This window comes from Homo sapiens, chromosome 18 (assembly GCF_000001405.40).
Source record: "Homo sapiens chromosome 18, GRCh38.p14 Primary Assembly".
Classification (NCBI taxonomy): domain Eukaryota; kingdom Metazoa; phylum Chordata; class Mammalia; order Primates; family Hominidae; genus Homo; species Homo sapiens.
In genome coordinates, this window is record NC_000018.10 from 62,575,555 (window position 1) to 62,586,953 (window position 11,399).

Sequence of the window (11,399 nt, forward strand, 5' to 3'; positions counted from 1 at the left end):
TCACAATAACTCCCAGAGGACTTGTTTTTGAGTTCACTCATTTCTCCTTCCTTTCCTTATTGATCATGGGATTCTGTTGTAGCAGAAAGATCTGTTTGTGTTTTCGTTTATGGATATTGTTTTCAGTGACAGATCATAAAATGCAACTGGAAAAACAGTGTAGACCCAGGTCACACAGAGCACAAGGAAGTTCAGAGGAATTCAGTTTCCAATTAAGGAATAAACTCTAAAGGCCCTTTTGAAGGAGTGTGATGGGAATTTGCATTCTGTAATGTTAAATCTCTTGCTTGCAGCACTTTTTTTTTTTAAGCTACAATCCTGTTTCATAGAGTAAGCAAAATTTTTAAATATTGAAAACCTAGGAAGTAATTTAGTTATCTGACATTAGGTTTTGAGTAACTATTTAGTATATCTGCATAACCAGCTGCCTCATGCCTGTTTCCCCATGCTACCCTTTTCCTTCCCAGCAAATGTTAAAAAAAAAAAGGTCCAAGATTCTATTGCATTAATACAGGAACAAAATAGTTCAGTACTATTTTGATTTGAGAGTAAAGGAATTTGAACAAAGTTTAATATTACTACCACCAGAAAGAAGAAAATGGTCTTACCTATGTTTGAGTAAGATACCAAATTTTATGTCAACTTCAGGCTGTTATTTTCACTTGCATTTGACCTTTGTCGTTTTGCCAAATCTTACCCAGAAACAAAAAAAGTCTTAAATTGGGAATATATTTACTTGGCATTCTTAAAGAAAGATCAAGTTTGATAGCTTTTAGATTGAATTCAAAGCACAAACTTTACATTGCTTTTTAAAGTGAGCGGATTGGCCATTTGGAGTGGCACTAGAGCTGACGAAGGTGCCTTGTGGAGAGCATGCCCGTGTGATAGCTTGTACGTAGTGGTTTGTGATGACGTTTGCTTGTAAGCGGTGACTTAGTTCTGTCTTTCCCATTTTAGGCACTTACAGACTGAGATACGCACCTCCCCTCCCCCCTTCTAATGATACGTTGGATTCTGCAGACTGAAACGAGTAAAGCTTGCCTACTTAATACACTCAAGTGTGGGGAGTCATGGGGTGTGGAGGGGAGGAAAGGAAAGGTATTTTGTTTCTTTGTCTATACATTTCCTAGATTTCTATGCAGTTGGGATTTTTCATTTCTCTTGTACCAATGTCCAAAACAAGAAAGAATGCAATGCTTTTGAGCCTCTGGTCTCCTGGTTCAACAACAGGCTTATATGTATGATACATGTAATTTAAACCTTCAGACAAACTTAAATGTTGGTGCGTGCTTTTTTTTTTTTTTTTACACTGAATACTTGCTGTGTGCAATGTTTACTGAATCTTTAAAACTGTGTATTTGACCTTTTTTTTACAACACTGGTGACAGTCATATGGTTTTGAAAAAAAAAAGAAATTTTGCTTCTTCCCAGCTTTTCTCACTTTCACCCTAAACGACACTTCCTCCCCAGCCAGCCTCACTCTGTCTCCGGCCCGCAGCAGGAGCAGCCAGCAGTGCATTCACCCCACTTTTGTAAACTGCTCTGCATATAAACCAAGGGCAGAATGTTTCACCCTGATCTTATGGGAGGAATCAAACTCCCAAAATAGTGTGTATATATGTAATAAACAGCGTCACGTAAATACATATATGCAGTGCTTGTTGTCCAAATAGAAATGAAAATAAGTGGAAGAGAGAGGAAGAAGTCAAACCATATGAAACTGAAAAAATATGACGTACGAAATGGACAAAAAGCTTTTTCTGAAACCAACTTTTTACTTCCATCATCCTTTTTTAGCCTGTTGCTTCAGAGAGACACAAAGTGAACACACTGGTGTGAATGTCGCTCTCTGTGTGCTTGTGTTTGTAATGAAAGTCTACAGCCAATTTTACTTGTCTACCACCGTGTTGTGCTCAAAGAGACACTACTTGAGTGAAGATTTCTTCTTTCCCTGTACCAGCTGTTACAGTGTTACGTTGTGTTTAAAATGTGTATGGTTTATTGCAATCTGAACAGAGCTATGGGTTTCTACCATAAGTCAGGTTGTTTGTTCCCTAACCTGTCTCTCATAGCAAAGTCACTTTTATAACAGTTTACCACTATGCTTGATTATAATGTGAAAGGCGGAATTCTGAGTGTGTTAAGATGGTATTAATCATGTCGGTGTCATGTCACTAAGTTTAATGCTGCTGTTTTTAAAAAAAAAAAAAAGTTTTTTTAAAAAGCCAATCTATGTACTAAATTGCTTCCAGGTAATTTTTGATTTCCTAAAGTGCACTGAGGTTATCTGGAAGATTGGGTGTATTTTTTGGTGACTGCTGCATTCATCAGCAATGAACAGTTTCCACTGTATAGTCCTAGGGGTCAGGGGGTGGGGGTTTCATTTTCCATTCCTCAGCACAGAGCAGAAATGATAGATTTTTATTGTTTGGAGTAACGTTGGTATGCAGCAGAGGAACGTAAACATTTGGTCTTGGTTCAGAAGCCTAACAGATTGCTAGACAAGAGAAAAAACTTGAAGAAAAAAGAAGCTTAATTTCATGCTTCATAAGTAGCATTTATATTTATAGCACCAATGTACATTTTGAAACTTTCTTTCAGGGGTGGGAGTTATGGGGAAGGGGTGGGTGTGAAGGGGTAGATGAAAGCTTTAATTTAGAAAGAAAGTTCAAGTAAAGGAAATTATTTTGATTAAATATATTTTATTTGATCTGGGTATTTTTGGACCACATTATTAAATTAATTGTTAAGCTGCAGTTGAGTTGTTCAAGTGAGAGTTTTGATAAGCCACTTATGGGCCGCGTTGTGAATCACTTGCCAGTTGTACTTTATGGAGCTTATTTTATGATTTAAAATACTGTACTGTACATAGGAGGTATGTTACCTTCTCCTTATTTGTATGTTTACCATATACTTTGATATTTGAAATGTTATGTACTGGAAAGGCCACTTATATTTCTAGAACAGATTGGATTTTATGCAACCTTTTTTCCTTGAATTAACAGCAATAAAAAAATGAAAAACAGCTTAAGAATTGTGCCTCATTGTAAATTTTGTAAAAGTGGAGATAGGACATCATACATGGCGATTTTTTTAAAGTTTTATTTAGGTATGTAATTATTTTGGGGTTAAGGATCAATCCATTTCCCTGCAGGGTGGGCAGTGAATCCCAAAGTTATTTACCATCTGGATGCTCCTCAGTTCTTCCCCCAAATAACCTTTTTGTTTTTGAGACGGGGTCTTGCTCTGTCGCCCAGGTTGGAGTGCAGTGGCGGGATCTCAGCTCCCTGCAACCTCTGCCTCCCTGGATTCAAGCGATTCTCCTGCCTCCGCCTCCTGAGTAGCTGGGATTACAGGTATGTACCATGACACCCAGCTAATTTTTGTATTTTTAGTAGAAACGGGGTTTCACCATGTTGGCCAGGCTGGTCTTGAACTCCTGACATCAAGTGATCTGCCTGCCTCTGCCTCCCAAAGTGGTGGGATTACAGGCATGAGCCTCCATGCCCGGCCTCCCAAGTAACTTTATATAGAGGTAATCTGCGTGACCACTAGAGAAAGGGGGACTGCACTCCGTGAGTTTTGAGTACTCGGCTGCGTGCCAAACACTATGGTAGCAATGAGGCAGAGTCCTTGTCAACCTTGAGCTCGTATTTCCAGTTTAGGCCTTTAGCCACTAAAAGTGTAAAGGACTCATTACTTTATCAACTTTGTTAGTGTGATTTTATTAGCCAGGCCCCTCTCTCAGTATAATGTGTACTATTTTTTATTTCATTGCTTATCTTGGCTGTAATCCAGGCTCAAAGTTTTTAAACGGTTGGTAATTTATAAGAGACGGTTGGGGGCCTGTGTGTGTTGCTCCACGCCGCCCTTGACGCAGTCCTGGTGGCCAGCACCGTCCTGGGCCTTGGCTCTTTGTCAGGAGCCATCTAATGACTGTGCCCTCTGGATCCGGTTGGGTGGGCAGTGAGTTTGAAATGATTATAAATTCCCTGATTGTTTACAGGGCACCAACTTTCGTTTTCAGCCAACAAATAATGCACCTATAGGTAACGTGTAAATCATGAACCCAGATTCACATTAACTAGCATGTCCCATATCCTTAGCTATCCCTCCCTCCCCTTCCCCCACTACACTAAGGTAACCACTGCTTTAGATTGTGTTAGTCTTTTCTTTTTTTTTTGTGAGACATGCTTTAGCTCTTGCTGCCCAGGCTGGAGTGCAATGGTGCAATCTCGACTCACTGGAACCTCCACCTCCCGGGTTCAAGTGATTCTCCTGCCTCAGCCTCTCAAGTAGCTGGGATTACAGGCGTCTACCACCACGCCCAGCCAATTTTTTTTTTTTGGTACTTTTAGTAGAGAAGGGGTTTCACTGTGTTGGCCAGGCTGGTCTCGAACTCCTGACCTCAGGTGATCCACCCGCCTTGGCCTCCCAAAGTGCTGAGATTACAGGCGTTAGCCACTGCGCCCGGCCTTCTGTTACTCTTTTACTTGTTTATTTCCCCACACACTGCTCCTAAATATACCGTTTCTTTTTGTTTTTCTTGAGCTTTATAAGGGTATCCTTTTGTGCCTAGCTTTCTGTGCCTGGCTCTGTTCATCTGATTTTATGGTCTTGATGTTGTGTTCTTATATTTATTCATTTTCCCTACCTTATGATAGTCTCATTGTGGGGAAGAATATAGATAATTTCTCCATTCTGTCAATGGACATCTGGGTGGTTTTAATTTTTTTTCTGTTACAAACAAGTCTGCTGGGAACATTGTTGTCCCTGGTTCGTGTGTACACGAGTCCTCTAGGGCGGCAAGCTGGGAGTGCAGCGGCTGGGTTGTAGGACATGCAAGTATTCAGTTTGCCAAGATTTGCAGTATTGTTTTCCAAGTGATTTACACTCACACCAGCAATGTAGTAGAGAATCCTGAATGGGTATCTAGACCCCCCTCCCGAGATGGTGTCACAGTGCTGTGGAAGGCCAGGTGGACCCCTCCCGAGACGGTGTCACAGTGCTGTGGAAGGCCAGGTGGACCCCTCCCGAGACGGTGTCACAGCGCTGTGGAAGGCCAGGTGGACCCCTCCCGAGACGGTGTCACAGTGCTGTGGAAGGCCAGGTGGACCCCTCCCGAGACGGTGTCACAGCGCTGTGGAAGGCCAGGTGGACCCCTCCCGAGATGGTGTCACAGCGCTGTGGAAGGCCAGGTGGACCCCTCCCGAGACGGTGTCACAGTGCTGTGGAAGGCCAGGTGGACCCCTCCCGAGACGGTGTCACAGCGCTGTGGAAGGCCAGGTGGACCCCTCCCGAGATGGTGTCACAGCGCTGTGGAAGGCCAGGTGGACCCCTCCCGAGACGGTGTCACAGTGCTGTGGAAGGCGAGGTGGACCCCTCCCGAGATGGTGTCACAGTGCTGTGGAAGGCGAGGTGGACCCCTCCCGAGATGGTGTCACAGTGCTGTGGAAGGCGAGGTGGACCCCTCCCGAGACGGTGTCACAGCGCTGTGGAAGGCCAGGTGGACCCCTCCCGAGACGGTGTCACAGTGCTGTGGAAGGCCAGGTGGACCCCTCCCGAGACGGTGTCACAGCGCTGTGGAAGGCCAGGTGGACCCCTCCCGAGATGGTGTCACAGCGCTGTGGAAGGCCAGGTGGACCCCTCCCGAGACGGTGTCACAGCGCTGTGGAAGGCCAGGTGGACCCCTCCCGAGACGGTGTCACAGTGCTGTGGAAGGCCAGGTGGACCCCTCCCGAGACGGTGTCACAGCGCTGTGGAAGGCCAGGTGGACCCCTCCCGAGATGGTGTCACAGCGCTGTGGAAGGCCAGGTGGACCCCTCCCGAGACGGTGTCACAGTGCTGTGGAAGGCGAGGTGGACCCCTCCCGAGATGGTGTCACAGTGCTGTGGAAGGCGAGGTGGACCCCTCCTGAGATGGTGTCACAGTGCTGTGGAAGGCGAGGTGGACCCCTCCCGAGATGGTGTCACAGCGCTGTGGAAGGCCAGGTGGACCCCTCCCGAGATGGTGTCACAGCGCTGTGGAAGGCCAGGTGGACCCCTCCCGAGATGGTGTCACAGCGCTGTGGAAGGCCAGGTGGACCCCTCCCGAGATGGTGTCACAGTGCTGTGGAAGGCGAGGTGGACCCCTCCCGAGATGGTGTCACAGCGCTGTGGAAGGCCAGGTGGACCCCTCCCGAGATGGTGTCACAGCGCTGTGGAAGGCCAGGTGGACCCCTCCCGAGATGGTGTCACAGCGCTGTGGAAGGCGAGGTGGACCCCTCCCGAGATGGTGTCACAGTGCTGTGGAAGGCCAGGTGGACCCCTCCCGAGATGGTGTCACAGTGCTGTGGAAGGCCAGGTGGGGGAATGCATGTGCAGCCTAGGTCTTTGCATCTAGAAAGAGCCCCAGAGTGGAGAGTCACCTTGGGGAAGGGGACGCAGGCTGGGCAGGAACAAAAACAGCAGTGTGTGGTTGGGGACGTGGGGGAAGGAGATACAGCCATAGTAAAGGGAAAATTATAAAAGAGTTTCAAGATTTGTGGGTACAGTAGATAAAATGGGATCAGACTGGAGAATTTGGAGTTGGTTGAATGAAAAATGGGAAGTTTCCAAGTTTTGAATAGAGGGAAAACACATTGACAGTGGTATTTGAGGAAATCCTCAGGTGGTTAAGGAAAGAGAGCCTGGAGGTTGAAAGACGGGTTAGGCATGGCCAGGAGGGCCGAGACTAAGGTGTTGGCCGTGGGAAGGTCCATTTAGAAAGGGATGGAAGAGACAGGTAGAAGGAACCTTGATGCTCTGAACTTTATTTTCCCTAGATGTAAAATGAGAATTGCTCTTTTAAATTATGGTTCAGTGGCCGGGCACAGTGGCTCACTCCTGTAATCACAACACTTTGGGAGGCCAAGGCGGGTGGATTACTTGAGGTCAGAAGTTTGAGACCAGCGTGACCAACATGGTGAAACCCCGAATCTACCAAAAACACAAAAACTTAGCCGGGCATGGTGGTGTGTGCCTGTAATCCCAGCTACTCAGGAGGCTGAGGTAGGAGAACCGCTTGAACCTGGGAGGCGGAGGTTGCAGTGAGTTGCAGTCACACCACTGCACTACAGCCTGGGTGACAGTGAGACTTCATCTCAAATAAATAAATAATGGCTCTGAAGGTTAAATAATCTATGGGAAAGGTCCAACATAATGAAATAGCACTGAGAAGCCACTCAAATTCTAGTTGAATTCAATTTTGATGAACAGGGAGATTGTAATACTATTTTAAGAGACAGGGCCAGGCACAGTGGCTCACACCTGTAATCCCAACACTTTGGGAGGCCAAGGCCTTGGGCAGATCACTTGAGCCCAAGAATTCAAGACCAGCCTGGGCAACATGACGAAACCCCATCTCTACAAAAAATACAAAAATTAGCTGGTCCTGGTGGTCTATGCCTGTAGTCCCAGCTACTCAGGAGGCTGAGGCAGGAAGATCGCTTGAGCCCAGCAGGCAGAGGCTTCAGTGAGCCCAGATCATGCCACTGCACTCCAGCCTAGGTGACAGAGTGAGACCGTGTCTTTTTTTTTTAATAAAAGGGAAGATGTGGACGAGAACAGGTTTGGGTAGGAGTGATGGCAGTGATTCTTTGGATGGTGAGGAACCTAGCAAACATAGCTCTTCATTAGACTAAGATTAGTTAATTTTGCTCTATGCACTGATGAACGATATAGAAGCTATTCCTTACCCTCGCAGATTAAACCTAGTTGGAAAGCTTGCCAGTTAATGGTATGTATGGACTGTACAGACATGCCGAGTCATAACGGTCATGATTATTCAGTACCAAAGTAAAAGTTTATGGCAAGGCAAATCTACATTTAATTTTTTATGTAAGCACTAAGAATCAAATTTTTCTGAAAAGGTTCCAAAGAGATGAGAAAGCACGGTGTAAAATACCTGTTTTCTTAACAGCACCTAGTACTTAACAGCACCATCCATTTGAGCTTGGAAGACATCTTTTTCACTTCTCCATACTGATTGCAAAAGCATTCTAAGGTTAAGGCAGTGAAACCATATGGAGGCAAGCTGTGACAATAGTTCCACCCCATGACACTCCCATAATCTTAAAAGAATAAAAAAATACTGACCCCCCCCTCCACCCAACCCCACCCCACCAAGAGGGAGGGCTCATTGATTTCCAGAGCAGTGAGTTTCGAGGTGTGAGATATGAAGAAATGGGGTCCCTGCCTGGAAACGTAGTCACGACATCTCTACATCTTCTTCTCTTTAGGGGAGGAGACCAGCTGTTAAAGGATGAGGGGCTCTGGGGTCCCAGGGCTGAGAGGCAGGTGTCAGCTCGGGGTGGAGGGAATGTTTTAACTGGAGTGCCCTCGCCCCTTCAGATGACCCTGTGCAGAGAGAGGACAGGCCAGGGCGGACAACCTTGTCTTTCCCTGGATGCTCATTAACGTATTGGCTTGCTCAGGTTGGATTCCTAGGGTCAGAATAACATCATATTTGATGTTACCGCTGCTTACAGATACAGCTGTTGTGCTTGTCCATGCAAAATTTCCCTAATTCCTAAACGCTGTCCTCTGTTGAAAAATGTAAGCCCCCTGAATTGGAACATGGGTACACATCACCTGAGTTCTGTGTGTGTATGCAAATGTTTATCAATTGTGGAAGCTTTGGAATTGGGGGTGGTTTGGGGCTTCCTCTTGTCTGTTCTGTAATGGGGGCACATCACACGTGTGGGGACCGGAGACCCTTCACGCAGTCACCTCCGCCTGCAGAGAATGCGGGCCTTGGTCACCAGAAGCTCTCAATCCCATGATCCGGTTTTGCTCTCTGAAATTTGGCGGTGGGAGTTGTGGTGAGGTGGGGGGTTGGGTGGTTCTTCATTGTTTTTCTTTTTCCTCTTGCAGTTCCAATTTGAGCCGCTGTGAAAAAGGCCTCCACCAGCCTCTCACCAGAAGAGATTGCTCATTGGAACGCAATGCCACCTGGTGGGGGACGAGGACAGTGCGAGCAAGCAGATGTTATTTCCTACTGACCTAATTTAGAGAACATTAAACGTAAGAGAGGGAACATTTGGGGTTGGAAGCCTGTGCCCAAAACCTTAAAGAGTGCAGGCAGCTGGCCATAAAAGCAGCTTGAGCAAACCCCTCATTCAGCCGTTGAAATGTGTGTGTGAACACTTTAAAGGTTTCCTCTGTGCTTTTCCTGCGTGCATTTGGTCATCACAGCTGTGAAGTGGGGTGGGAATGTTTCCCCTCGTTTTCTAGGAGAGAAATTTTGGGTTCAGTGAGACGAAGTGCTGCAGACAGGCCCATGGTGATGCTCAGGCCTCTGCTTGAAGTTGGTGCTCACTTCCTGGCACCACTTCCTGCCCCCACCAGTGCTTCTGGCAGAGCCCAGGGCAGTGGCTTTATGGAACTGTGTAAGGTGATAGGAACCCACAGGTGGAATGGCCGTGTGGCCTCTGGACTGAGGAGGGCTGGACCAGGTTGTGGGCACGCCTGGAACACACGCCACATCCTATCCCATAGCGAGGCCTCTTCCTTGTGGCTCTCGAAGGATTTGAGGACGCGGGAGGGTGAAATGTTTCCAGAGAAATATCCAGGACTTTTAGAACTAGGCTTTCAAAAGCATTTACCTGTCAGATAAATTCAAGTGGCATCAATGCAGATTTTAAATGTGTACAGATATCTCCACTCGCACGCTGAGTTGTGCTTCACACAAGTTTTGCGCACGGAGTATTCCATTAAATCTACTGAAGCAGTGGGGCAAGGAGAAAGGAGAGGTGACTGCTGATGTTTTTAAAGCTCTGACAGTCACATATAGATTGTCCCAGGTACCCCTGCTGCCCCCAAGACACTCCAAAGGCAAAGATGGATGGTGACAAAGTAACCTTCATGCAGAAACAAGAACAGTCACCCCCAACAACAAGCCCTGCTGAAGGTGAAGAATGCCACCAGGCTGCCTGGCAGTTACTGAGTGCTTATTCCTGCTAGCCTATTGGAGTCACGTCATATTTGTTACATGGTAACTTAATTGTGCCTTCCACGCCTTCACAAAATCAGTTGTACAAGAGAAGGCACCCACCACAGTCCATGTGACCTTTCTCGGTCTGATTTACATAGTGGGGATGATGACACTCGCGTTGTAGAGTAGTTGCACGATTAAACCTGGCACACAGACATAAAGCACTCAATGTCTGACACATAGTGGACTCTCAAGAAGTTTGTCATGCAGGGGACACTTGAATGCCCAGTATGGGCCAGACAGCATCAGCTCATTTCAGTCCCACAGCCCTGTGAGGGAGGAACTCTGCCCTGTTTTACAGTTAGGGAAATTGAGGCACAAAGGCTAAGAAGTCGATATCCAAGGGCACAGAATGATTGGGTGACGGTGAGCCCAGGCAGTGTGACAACAAGGTTGCTGCCCCACGCCACCTCTGTCTTTCGTGGGTATGTCGGTGTGAGGTGTAGGCAGCCCTGCACTGGCATTCAGCAGGCGGGACTCCCGGGCAGGCTCTTCTGCGAACACTCATGGGCCACCAGCCCTTTCTGGAACTTGCCTTTTTTTTTTTTTTTTACCTGAAAGCTACGTGAATCGTTGGTAAATTGGTGTAAAAATGGAACTGAGTCATCTCAAAAGTTCCTTTCAGTTCTAAAATTCTGTGAATTGAAGCCTACTTTTTCACTTTAAATGATTTATTGGGTTTACAGTTCTTTACGCTTTCTGATTGAACTGATTTGAAGTTCTTATTTCGTGTGTTGGGGAACACACCCCCAACCCGTCACAGCGTGGCCGTGGGTGGGAGATGGACGTTAGGCTGGCCAGTCACTAGGGGGCAGCATCAGCACGGGTCTGGCTGTCCCTGGCCTTAGGGAGCAGTTTCTGCCCCTCCTGCCCCGTCAGAAAGTCTCGGACTCCTCTCTGCTTGCATGTGTAAAGTTTTCATTTTCAGGGGCCTTTTAGTCAAAAAAAATAAAGCTGTATGACTTAGTGCTGAAGGATATGAATTAGGCGTAGCTCTTGGGTTGGCAGCATAAACCAAGGGGCATCAACCCACCACCGACAAGCTAAGAATGGTTTTTACATCTTTAAATGGTTGAAAAAGGAAAAAGAATGTTTAGTGACACGTGAAAAATACATGAAATTCAAACTTCAGTGTCTACAAATAAAGTGCATTAGCACACGGTCGTCTTGCTTCTCTATGTGTTGTCTGTGGGTGCTTTGTCTTATCCCAGCAAAGTGGAATAACTGGGATGGAGACGCTATGGCCCTCGAAGCCTAAAATATTTACCGTCTGTCCCTTACAGGAAAAGCTTGCCATAATCAGCCTCATCTGAAGAAAGATGCACTTCGCATTATCTTGAAGGTCCTGATTTTCTGGGAGGAGGGACTCGTGCCCTCCTTTTCGGGCT

The 11,399-nt window shown here is 46.6% G+C and overlaps 1 protein-coding gene across 2 annotated transcripts in view, besides 4 other annotated features; it reads left to right on the top strand.

Annotated features, from left to right (window-relative positions):
- Positions 1-11,175, top strand: part of ZCCHC2 (zinc finger CCHC-type containing 2) — a 63,705-nt gene extending 52,530 nt beyond the window's left edge. Inside the window, exons 14-15 of one of the 2 annotated variants that reach the window (NR_126534.2) lie at positions 958-1,098; positions 8,892-11,175. Coding sequence is in view for 1 of the 2 variants with exons in the window: in NM_017742.6 (NP_060212.4) it covers positions 958-1,025 (68 nt within the window). In the remaining variant the exon portion in view is untranslated. Of the gene's footprint in view, positions 1-957; positions 3,026-8,891 lie in introns of those variants that run through there. The other variant, NM_017742.6, reaches the window with a different exon arrangement.
- Positions 8,646-8,705: an enhancer, noted in NCBI's record as "active region_13432". NCBI's record gives its function as "activates an Ori minimal core promoter by ATAC-STARR-seq in GM12878 lymphoblastoid cells {active_cell/tissue: GM12878}" and the evidence as "EXISTENCE:reporter gene assay evidence [ECO:0000049][PMID:35858748]".
- Positions 10,571-10,750: an enhancer, noted in NCBI's record as "active region_13433". NCBI's record gives its function as "activates an Ori minimal core promoter by ATAC-STARR-seq in GM12878 lymphoblastoid cells {active_cell/tissue: GM12878}" and the evidence as "EXISTENCE:reporter gene assay evidence [ECO:0000049][PMID:35858748]".
- Positions 10,571-10,916: a biological region, named in NCBI's record as "Sharpr-MPRA regulatory region 3490".
- Positions 10,622-10,916: an enhancer, noted in NCBI's record as "tiled region #3490; K562 Activating DNase unmatched - State 12:CtcfO". NCBI's record gives its function as "activates a minimal TATA promoter and a strong SV40 promoter by Sharpr-MPRA in K562 cells {active_cell/tissue: K562}" and the evidence as "EXISTENCE:reporter gene assay evidence [ECO:0000049][PMID:27701403]".
- Positions 11,176-11,399: the final 224 nt, after the last annotated feature.